The sequence below is a fragment of the Homo sapiens genome, chromosome 8 (genome assembly GCF_000001405.40).
Source record: "Homo sapiens chromosome 8, GRCh38.p14 Primary Assembly".
NCBI classification, from domain to species: domain Eukaryota; kingdom Metazoa; phylum Chordata; class Mammalia; order Primates; family Hominidae; genus Homo; species Homo sapiens.
In genome coordinates, this window is record NC_000008.11 from 96,509,411 (window position 1) to 96,521,194 (window position 11,784).

General features: G+C 41.0%; 1 protein-coding gene across 1 annotated transcript in view, besides 2 other annotated features; it reads left to right on the forward strand.

The window, feature by feature from the left end:
* The window catches only part of SDC2 (syndecan 2), a 117,978-nt gene that overhangs the window by 15,598 nt on the left and 90,596 nt on the right, over positions 1 to 11,784 (forward strand). The gene's annotated exons all lie outside the window — the stretch shown is intronic.
* Positions 10,971 to 11,265: a silencer, noted in NCBI's record as "tiled region #5310; HepG2 Repressive non-DNase unmatched - State 14:Gen5', and K562 Repressive DNase matched - State 9:DNaseU". NCBI's record gives its function as "represses a minimal TATA promoter and a strong SV40 promoter by Sharpr-MPRA in HepG2 and K562 cells {active_cell/tissue: HepG2 | K562}" and the evidence as "EXISTENCE:reporter gene assay evidence [ECO:0000049][PMID:27701403]".
* Positions 11,279 to 11,779: an enhancer, noted in NCBI's record as "NANOG-H3K27ac hESC enhancer chr8:97532917-97533417 (GRCh37/hg19 assembly coordinates)". NCBI's record gives its function as "activates a minimal SCP1, AML or CMV promoter by ChIP-STARR-seq in primed H9 embryonic stem cells {active_cell/tissue: H9 hESC(primed)}" and the evidence as "EXISTENCE:reporter gene assay evidence [ECO:0000049][PMID:30033119]".

An 11,784-nucleotide genomic window follows, 5' to 3' on the forward strand; every position in this document is an offset into this window, starting at 1 on the left:
CTGACCAGATCAGGAGGACAGACCGATTTTTTTCCTCTTCTTTTTGTGGCTCTTGTGTTTTGGTGAAAGGAGGAGGCATTTTGGTTTCTCTAGGTTTTCCATCTGGGTAGTGGAGGGCATATTCTCCATCACGGGTTTTCAGCCCTTGCTGCCGATTACATAAACTTGGGGAGCTTTTAAAAACTATTCATGCCTTGGCCCCACTCCAGACAATTAAATCAAAATCTATGTGGTTGGGGTCCAGCTCCCTGTGAAAGCTTATTCTCACTTCCAGAAGGCTTGAGAACCTTGCTCTAGAGGACTTCTTAGTCTCCAGTTTAGAGAGCAGCCTAGCAGGTAAGATTTTGTATTCTTAACGTATGCTTTCTACTGCTGTGATTAAGCCCCATGTAATGAGGTGGCTTTCCAGGACTCATCTGCTGCCTGTCACAGTCTAAGCAGTGTGGAATTGGGAAATCCTTGCTCCCTTCCAGCTTTTTCCTTTTCTCCAGTGTCTTTTCTGCTGGATCATACTTTTTTCTTTTGACTATTATTTTGGTGGATTTGGAAACATTCGAGAGGTCTTTAGACAGAAGACTGCATAGCTATAAAGTAAGTTTATCTGAGGATGTCTTTTAAAAAAATGCACACATTGCCCTTCCTGAAGGAAAACTTTTCCTAGTGGAGCAAGGGACACTCGTCCTCTTGGTCTGGTTACAGAAAAGCATGTTTGGCCAGCTTATTAGATTTGCCTGAGTTCATACTTTGAACAGAAAAATTGCATGTTTTACTGATTGGAAATACATTCTGGGACTTGATTGAATATACTGATCATGTATAGGTCCTACATAGGTGTCTTAATAATGGTCTTCTTACCGTACCTGCACTTAAGTTCAGCAATTTGGACCTGGTTCAAGTCGCTTCAATTCCATGGAGCTGTATTGTTTGCAGCTGAAATAGGAAGAGAGAGTGCTTTAGGCTGTCTTGTGAGCAAGACATCTGAGTTGTCTTTAGTTCATGCTTAAGCACAAAAGCAGCAGCCCATCATCTAATCTATTCATAGTTTACTTTGTTCGGGTATCTAATTTGGGAGCATGCTTGCCCTCACTCACTTCTAAAACACACAATTTGAATAAAAGGGTCTATCTTTAATTGACTCAGGGAACAAAACCTTGTTGAAGAATTCTGGATTTCTCAAAGCTTTTAAAAATTGCTCTGCAGGATAACATTACAATGCTGACCCTACTGCCACTCAACATGTATCTGTCCTACAATGGAGTTGGAGGAGGGATTATTCTGAGAAGGCTATTAAAATGAACCATTTACTATGATTCATAGGCTTTTAAACCCAGTAAGTCTGTAATATCTAGAGTAAAATTCAACATCAGTTTATTATTTTGGTGATGATGGGGTTAAAGTGTCTTTACAAAGTATTAAGCATGCACAGAGAAAATGCAAATGTGAATTCTCTTCGTTCTCCCCGTTAGGAGTGTATGCCTGATAGATAAATGTTCCAGAGCATTCATGTAATACAATTAGTAGATATAAGTGCTTTTTCTCAGTGGAAATTGAGGTCTGTTACAAGGAGTAACAGATTAGGCCAGTGGTTCTCGAAGTAGGGACTAATCAGCAGCATCTACAGCTCCTCGGACCTTGTTAGAAATGGAGATTCTGGGCCTCTCTGCAGACTAAGCAATCAGAAACTTTGCAGGTAGGGCCCAGCAGTCTTGAGCTTTAAAAAGCCCTTCAGGGGATCCTTCTGCATGCTAACGTTCGAGAACCTCTGAGCTACGGTTCTCACCTTGACAGCACAGACACTATTGAGAGTCCCTGGTTGTGGGGCACGGGTGTCAGTATTTTTGTTTCTTAAGCTGCCTTGGTGATTCCAGTGTTCAGTCAGGATTAGAGGCTGCTGCTCTAGGACCTTGCTACCCAAAATGAGGGTCCCAGACCAGCAGTGTGGGCATCACCTGGGAGCTCTTTAGAAATCCAGGCTATCAAACCCCACCTGAGACTTACTGAATCGTATTTAAGTTTAACAAGATTCCCAGTGACTCATAAGCACATTAAAGTTTGTGAAACACTGATTTATAGAAATAGTGAGTTTCCTTTGTAGAAGCCAGCCCTTAGAACGCCCTTAATTTAAAAGTTTTGTGAGGAGGTAGAACAGCTGTTTTGGCTTCTGCCTGGCAGTGACTCAGGGAAGCAATCACTGGGGGCAAGGCAAGGCTCCGAAAGCTGTGAAGGACCCAGGACCATTTCATCGAGTGAGTGCTGGTGCAAGTAATGAAAATCCCAACTCAGATTGGCTTAAGCAATGGAAACTTTTTGGTTCAGATAATGGAAGAGTTCAGGAGTAGTTCTGTTTTCAGATCTGGCTGCATCAAGAGGCTTATGTGATTTTTTTTTTTTTTTTTTAATCAGCCTCAAGGCTTACGTAACTCTCAGCTCAACCTTACTTTGTTAGATTCACTTTCAGGTTTTACAGAATTAGAGTAACAGCTAAGCTGTTGTTAAAAAGAGATTCCTAAACATAGTGGCTTAAAGTAGATTTATTTCTGTTTGACACAACAGTCCCAAGACAGGTCTGGTGGGATAGCTCTGCTGTGCTCACACGCAGTTCTTACCTGCTGGTCCAAGGTGGCCAGTCCATCCATACTGTCTCCCAGCCAGGAGACAGAGTCAAGGGGGAGAACATACCCATTCCTTTTAATGCCACAGCCTGGAGGGGTAACATGTCACTTACACTTATATCCCACTATTTGCAGCATAGTCACGTGGTCACACAAGGTACTATGCGGGCTGGGAAATGTAGTCTCTACATGGGTGGCCACGTGCCCAACTAAAATCTGGGGATGTTTTGTTACTAAAAAGGGAAGACTTTAGGTATTGATGACAACCAGGAGCGACTTCTCCTCTGGTGGTGGCAAGATGGAGTCTGGCAACTTCAAGTTAACAGCCTGTCCTGTCAGCAGTTTCAGTAGAAAGCACTACTCTTTCCTAGTTCTTCCAGTAAGAATCCCAGAATAGCTTCCTAGTTCCTTAATTTCTGGGAACTACACATGAAGAAGTGTCCCCAGAATCCCGTGGACTGTGATAGAAAAGGATTGGTTCCCCCAAAGAGAACTGTTTAATAGCAGGCTTAGAACAGAGAGACCTTTACCTCACTCCTTTGTGAATTGGCATTTAGACCCAGACAAGAAAGGAAAGTGGAGAACATGGGGGTGCTCAAGCCAGATGTGGGGGCATTGGGGGCTATTTACTGTCGAGTTAGTCAAGCATGGAATATTTGAAGATTATTAGCACGTGACATAAAGGGTATTTAGGAATAAATGTGTTTGCTGAGTTTAATAAACATAGGAGACTGTAACAGTGTACTTTTGATCTTCTGATCTCTTATTTTAGTGGTTGGTAAATAAGAGTAAAAGAAAATATAAACTTTGACAAATGCTTTTAAGAATGTTTTAAATTATTTAATCTTTAATTGCTAAAGATTATGTAAATAGAAGCCTTTAGTGCATCAAACGATGAGTGTTGGAGAGATGATGAATTGAACTTGTGTTTACCGTCTCCTTCTCAAGGTTTTGTTTTCTTAGTATGTTTTTTATACTTTATACTTAGTACTTTTTTATACTTTATTCATTACACAAAGGATTTGAGGTAATTTCCAAGACTAAGGCCTTTCTCGCAAGCTTTAGAAGAAAATTCTAAAAGCATACTACATCCTGCTTTTAAAAAAAGTTGTGACAGTCTTACATGATAGAAAAATAATATATCATATTCAAAATAACATGGTATTTCCAAGGTTCTCAACTGCTTATTGTCCTTTTAATGAAAATGTGGATTGTAGGCACATCTGCTATAAATGAATTAAAATTTCATTTGCCCAGAACTTTGTGTATTCCATTAATAAGATTTACCCAAAACACTATTGTTGGTTTAATAAATATTAAGAGAGTCTTTGGGATGTGCCTCCTGGCGTTTGTTGTTTCTCTCCTTTGAGCATTAACTACCCTTCTGAGCCTTCACAGGCTGCTTTTGTTGTTTTGTGCCTTGAGATATAAATAGAGGCAGAAAACCCAGAAGATGCAAACAGATTTAATACTATAAACTATTTACAGATGTGTTTAGTATTCATTCAATAGAACCTTTTAGTTTATTGAATATAAACCAGCTTTAGCATTCTACATGTGCCAGGGGTTCTGTTTTTTCTTTTATTGGAAATTTTAAAAACGACAAAAACATCTTTTGGTAGTATCATCATCTAATAAGCATGAGAAAGATGTAACGTCATGACTTGCACCTGACCCTTTGTCTTCTTGGATCTTACATACTTTTGGACAACCAAGAGTGAAAAGGGTGGAAACTTCCGATCTCGACTGAGTAAAAGGAAAGCCTTTCTAAGAGGCAGTCAAAGATGGAACAGGCTACTTAAGCAGGAGGCAGGACCCATACCTGGAGCTAAGCTGGTGTTTGTTTGGATGGCTGTTTACTGAGGATCTTTAGAGGAGATTCAAGCCATCAACTGGCTGGGGAGAGTCGCTGACCTTTATAGCTTCCTTCTAACCTTAGAAGATTCTGTACGACATTTTAAAGGTGAGTGCTGAGCAACTTAAACTATATTTTATTTCCTTTCCTGATAACTTGGTCTGACTGAGACTAGACATCTTTTGTTGCCTATAGTTGAAGGAGTCTGGCATTCTAGGACCAACTTGCTGTTAAACTGATGGCAAGATCTCTATTTGCCAAAGTTAGGGGACTGTGTATGTAACCATTGAAATCTAACATTACCTCAAACTTCAAGGGACTCTGACAGGTACTTTAACCAGTTAGAATGGCACACTTGACTATCTGGTTTGAGTCAGAGCAGTGAGTGCCTGGGAGAAAACAGCAAACTCAAGACACCATGAGTGGACTTTAGGGAGAGGGAAGAGAGACAGAGGGCCCACAGGCCAGCACGAAGAATGTAAAGGGAAAGTAGCCACTGTCCCAACCTGCCAGGGGTTTGGGAGGCACTGTTAATTTCCCAAGCATTCACTTATCCGCACTTTGACCAGGCAACCCTTCTTCGGCTGGACAGGGACACTCATGCTGGACCTTGATCACCCATGACCCATGTGTCATAGTGCAGAGCTTTCCTTCTGAGGCTTAAGTGACCAGTGTGACAAGAACCCTGAAACACCTAATGTACAGAAGGACTCTAGGTCCATGGTCCCCAACCTTTCTGGCACCAGGGACTGGTTTCATGGGAGACAGTTTTTCCACAGGTGTTAGGGGGGATGGTTTTGGGATGAAACTGTTCCATCTTGGATCATCAGGCATCAGACTCCTTTCACAAGGAGTGTGCAAACTAGATTCCTCGCCTGTGTAATTCACAGGGGTTTGCATTCCTAGGGGAATCTAATGCTGCCACTGATCTGACAGGAGGCGGAGTGCAGGCGGTAATGAGATTGGATGGCTACTCACCTGCTGTGGGGCTGGGTTCCTAACAGGCCATGGACCAGTACTGGTCTGTGGCCCCGGGGGTCGGGGAATCCCTGCTCTAGTCATGAACCATTTGTCTCCCTCTTGATTTTTCCTGTGCTAGCGCTCACTTCCATGTTTCCTTCTTTATTCTGGGTAAAGCAAGAGAATGCTGGACAGGTAGCCAGAAGACTTGGGTTCTTATAGGCTGGCCTTTCTCTGCCAGTTACCAGCTGTGACCTCTGGCAAATCACTCAACCTCTTTTACCTCAGTTTCCCTTTTTGTAAAACCAGCTAGTCTCTGCAGTCAAACCTTCAATAGTTCTATAATGGCTATGCTTTTCTTAAGGAGTCGCTTTTTCCCCCTACTTTCTACTTACTGCCTTGCAATGAAGTTTTTAAAATTCCAGTCCAGACTTTAACACTGTGTTCTATTCTCCTCTCTTCTCCTTTGGCAGCCAACTAAATTGGTTACAGTTGTCATTTAGAATGCGGTAATCTTTCATGACTAACCATTTCCTCTCTTAGAGATGCCACTTCATCTAGCTGCTGTAGCTCGGATTTCTTCCTCACAGATAAGAGGATGGAGGTTGCTCTTGATATGGGAAATAGAAGGATGGAGGTTGCTCTTGATATGGGAAATAGAAGTCGGAGTAGGAGGTAAAGTTCCACTGTAGAGGGAAAATGTCCACCTGTTAGAGACAGGAAACAACTGGGGTGCGAAGGGCCAGCTGTCCGTGTTCTGTGGATGAAAATTCCCAGCAGATTTTTTCTGTATTTTTGGCTCTGAATATTATACACTGAACATAGAGTCTTGTCCTGGAATCTGATAGTTTTCTTAAACACTGGACAAGTGAATATACTCCAAAAAGATCATGAGGCCACGGGTATTGTATTCTGAGGTCCCGAGAAGTTGATGAATCTTCTCTCCCAAAGGCGGATATTTTTACCAGTGTGAGCTACCCAGAAAATTTTAAATTTGAAAATCTCCCAAATGCCCATGATTTTGATGGCAAGAATTATTAGAGGCAGGTGGAAAATACTGCCCAACTGTGATCATGACACTTTCACCAACTTACGGCTCCCTAGCCCTGGGACTGGCCAAAGAACCCAGTGTTGGGCTGGAAGGGGAGCCCTTCCAGGCTGATGGATCTCTTTGCCCCAAGTACTGTTGTCACACTGCCGGTGTTCGAATCACCTTGGGGATTGGGGTTATTTGTTAAAAATGCACATTCTTGCATCCCATCTCAGACCCTGCATTTGAATGTAGCTGAAACATACTGAAGTTACAGAATCATTGCTTTTGGCTGAAAACCTAGAAAGCTTGCAATGGCTTTCTGTGGACCCCACCTCTCTGCTTAACCTTTTTGGGTTTTTAGTTCGGGATCTAAGGCCCTCCCCTCTCTAAAATGCAAAATGTGACACTGAGCTAAAGATCAAAACATAGCAAGCGTTATCTAGAAATTATTCCTTTAAAAATAGTTTATTTAGCCATGCAATAGGATAACTGTCAAACAATATTTTATGCTACTTAGAGTTGTACATATAGGTACATAACATTGAATAGCTTTGTTGAAGTATAATGTACCTGCCACAAAAATTCACCCATTTAAAGCGTAGTTTTTAGTGTATTCACACAATTGTGCAACAGTGACCACAATCTAACTTGAGAATATTTTAATCACCCCCCCACCTCAAAAAAAAAAACCTGTACCCATTTGCAGTCACTTTTCATTCCACTCACTTCAAGGCCTAGGCAACCACTAGTCTCCCTTCTGTCTCTGTAGATTTGCCTATTGTGGACATTTTATGTAAGTGGAATCATGTAATATATGGCCTTTTGTGATTAACTTCTTTCAGTTAGCATGTTTTCAAGGTTCATTCATGTTGTAGCACTAGTACTTCATCTCTCTTTATTGCCAAATAAATATTTATTGTGCATTGCATATAGTCATACCCCCTTTTCCATTTGTTAGTTGGTGGACATTTGGGTTGTTTCAACCTTTTGGCTATTAGGAGTAATGCCGCCATAAGCATTTGTGTCCAAGTGTACAAGTTTCATGGGGCTATATGTTCATATATTTCCATTTCTCCTGAGTATATATACCTACGAGTGGAATTTCTGGGTGATATGGTAACTCTGTATAACATTTCAAGAAACTGCCACACTGTTTTGCAAGGTAGCTGTACCATTTTACATTCCCACCAGCAGTGCACAGGGTTCCAGTTTTTCCACATCCTCATCAATATTTATTATTGTCTGTCCTTTTGATTACAATCCCTATTGGGTATGAAGTGGTATCTTATTGTGGTTCTGGTTTTCATTTTCTTACTGACTGATGATGTTGAGCAAGATGTGTTTTTGTGTTCTTAGCCATTTGTATTTACTCTGTGAAGAAATGTCTATTCAGATGTCTATTCTGTGGGTTGTCTTTTCATTCTCTTAATAGTGTCCTTTGAAGCACACAAGTTTTAGATGTTTATGAAGTCAAACTTATCAGTTTTTTTCTTTTGTTGCTTATGTTTTTGGTATCATATATAAGAAACACTGCCTAACTGAAAATTGGAAACATCTATTCCTATTTTCTTCCAAGAGTTTTATGGTTTTAGTTCTTACATTTAGATCTAAAATCTATTTTGAATTAGTTTTTGCATATGTTGTGGGGTTGGGGTACAGTTTATTTTCTTCTTTATGCATGTGGTATCCAGTTGTCCCAACACTTTCTTAGAAAGTCTTATTCTTTCCCCGTTGAATTCTTGGCACACTTGTTGAAAATATATTGACCATAAATGTAGGGGTTTATTTCTGCACTCTCAATTCTGTTCCTTTTATCTGTATGATTTATATGAAGTACTATATGTACATATTTTTGTATGTATATATGTGTGTGCATAAATACACACGTTTGTGTGTGTGCATGTGTGTGTGTGTGTGTGTGTGTGTGTGTGTATATATATATGCACACATGAATCTTAAAATTGTTTTTCCTGTGGCCTTAATTTAGGTGATTAGGGAAATGGACAAGTCAATAGGTAGGAATTAAAGACGTTAACTACACCAGGAGACTTGACCATGAAGTCCCTCCTGCCTCAGCTGAGCTAATTTAACAGGGATACAAAGAGCCGCAGAACGATTGGTTTGCTGTTGGTTTTTTTCTTTTTCTCTCCCTCCCTGAAATGGAATGCCTTTCAGAATGTTTTGGAGTGGGGTGCATTTTAGATATCTCTAGTCCTTGGCCTAGCCCTGACAGTGAGGTCTTGGCTAAGATACTTAATGAGTTCTGAATGCCCCTGTCCTCACCCTTAAGCAGCTGATTTTTCGAAGTTTTGTTTCGCTTCATGGTATAAAAAGCCTAGTCATGTGATCTTTGTAATGTTTCTTGGTTATTTTAATTTTTAATGGTAAAAAATGCCTGACAGAAAAAAAAAGAAAAACCCAAGACTTTCCTGTGACACGGTGCACTTCTGCCTTGTGGACCTAGTTGGAGAGACTGCCTTACCTTGAGAGGTTTTTTTTTTTTTTTTTGAGACAGAGTCTCTCTCTGTCACGCAGGCTGGAGTGCAGTGGCGCGATCTCGGCCCACTGCAAGCTCCGCCTCCCAGGTTCACGTCATTCTCCTGCCTCAGCCTCCCAAGTAGCTGGGACTACAGACGCCCGCCACCAGGCCCGGCTAATTTTTGTATTTTTAGTAGAGACAGGTTTCACCATGTTGGCCAGATGGTCTTGATTTCTTGACCTCGTGATCCGCCCGCCTCGGCCTCCCAAAGTGGTGGGATTACAGGCGTGAGCCACCGTGCCTGGCCTACCTTGAGAGCTTTTAACTACAGATAAAGAGCTGAAACTTCTTGTGAAAATGTCTTAATTTTATTCTTGGGTCCGTGGGAATTTAGAACTATAGGCTTTTAATTGTTCACAGCTGGTGCATGAATAGAGTGGTAATAATAATTAGGAATAATATGGTTCACCTCCTAAGCTGTTAGTTTTAATCCGTTAAATTTTTTTGAACTGACGTCTGGCACAGTCTTCAAGTGAGACCATTTGGAGGAGGTCCATCCTAGGTTTCAGTCAAGAAGTGTGCATGTCTGTCTTGTCCTGCTAATTTGTTACAGTGATTTCTATGGTTTGATTTTAATGTTTTTCATCTAAAAACACACATGCAAATCCAGCCTACGCTCAACAAAATCCATCCAGACACTCCCACTACAGAGCCCTTGCGTGACAATTTTCTGTATCTAAGTTAGAGGGAGCTTGCAGCCTCTCCTACATCCCTCTGCGGTGGGAGGAGCCTTGCTAGGGGAGAGAGGGGGTTTGCTCTAAGTCTCTTGTAAATGGAGGCCGACCCAGAGTGCCCAGAGTGCAGTGCTTCCTGTAATTCCCCAGAGAGCAGTTTGGAAATCATAAAGCTGATTTACAGTTATTTATTCCCTGCCCCTCCCCCCACACTATTTTTTGTAAAATCCTCAAATTTCAAAGTATTAGTACAATTGATTAGTGATGTTTACTTTTCGTCATTTCTTAATGCTCCACGTTACAGAAATTTTTCAAAATGTTTCAAAATGACATATTTAGTAGAGAATAAGGATTAAAGAAGGAATGTGTTCTTGAAGAGTGATCTGGTTGGAGGTTGTTTTCTGGGAAGGTTTAACAAAATAGTTGTCTTAGGAGAACACATCATAATATCACATTATTTAATGAAACCTCTTTTATCTTAGATAATCTAGGGGGGAAAAATCCTAAATTTACACTTAAGTGGTGAAAAAAATTAAATCGCAATTTAATTATTTTTTAGAAGTAGTATAAATTTTTTTTTTTCTTTTGAGACAGAGTCTAGCTCTGTCACCCAGGCTGGAGTGTAGTGGTGCAATCTCTCCTCCCGGGTTCAAGCGATTCTTGTGCCTCAACCTCCTGTAGCTGGGATTACAGGCGCGCACCTCCACGCATGGCTCGGTTTTTATATTTCAGTAGAGACAGGGTTTGTTGGCCAAGCTGGTCTTGAACTCCTGACCTCAAGTGATCGGCCTGCCTCAGCCTCCCAAAGTGCTGGGATTACAGGTGCGAGCCACCACGCTCGGCGTTAGAAGTAGTAGTATAAAATTGATGATATCAACAAGTTGATAGCTTCTCATAATTTATGCTGCCCACTAATTTGGCTAATTTAGTAAATAGTTGTTACCTGGAACTAAATGATTTCTCATAACATGCCTTCTTGGCCTTTCTCACGGGACTTCCTGGAACAAGATGACTTTTGTTGGGTAGAGCTGATATAAGAATCCAGCCAATGAAACTGTAGTGACAACTTTTTACTTTTAAAAGTATATATTGTAAAAAGCTCTCTTGAATCTACAAATAGAATCCATTTTACTAAAGCTAGGGTGTTAGTCACATTATATTTCCAAGAAAACACAGTATAATTGTCACTTTCAAGGGCCATCGAACTGAAGTAGAGAAAGGTGGTGACTTTATGGGAACACCAGATTAGTATTAGAAATTAGCGTGAGATCTATACATTTAGCAGTTTCTAAAGGTGATTTCTGCTGCTTCACTCACTCTTACTGTTTCTTGAAGTATTGATTGTCAAAGTGATTAGAGGAGCAGTAATAATTCATTTACAGGGAGTCTTACTGCCTTTTCCTTTCCAGAGCCTCTCCTCACATTCCCAAGCTGTTTATATGTGATGTTCAGCTTGTGGACAGGGTGTGTGCTTATGTTTTAAGTATTTGCTTCTGGAGAGCTAGCTAGAAAAAGCAAAACAGAGAAACCCATTGGCGTGTTGAGAGTTGAATCCACAAGAAGATGTTGTTTGCAATGTGCCGAAAACATAAGGTCCAAACAGCCGGAACAGGCCTGGTGCCAGGCAATTTCACTGTGAGAGAAAGAGGAGGTCTGATGCAGTTCTCTAAGGATTAGCTGCAACTCAGCAGCTGCTGTCTGAGTTTGATTATGCACATCCTGAGACCTGCATTAACCCTTGTGCCCCTGGGGGAACCTCAGGGCTGTCTTCTAAACAAAGGACTTTTCCCCTGGACACCCAGGGGCAAAAGCCAAAACAATATGGAGGTTAAAAGAAGGCGGAGCTCTGGGAGACTGGATTTGAGAGAACAATCTAGGAAGGAAACGGATTGTAGAATTTTGGAACTGCAAGTGCCTTTTAAGACCCTTTCATTTTATTGATCAAGAAGCAGAGGCTCAGAGAAGTTAGGTGACTTGCCCAAGGAGAATCAGTCAAAACTTAAGTCCAGGTGTCTTCATTCCCAGCTAAGCTGTTTCATGCAGCACCACATCCCTAATGGGATGATTTTCACATTCGTATAAATAATATGTTGTGTATTTTTGAAAACTGC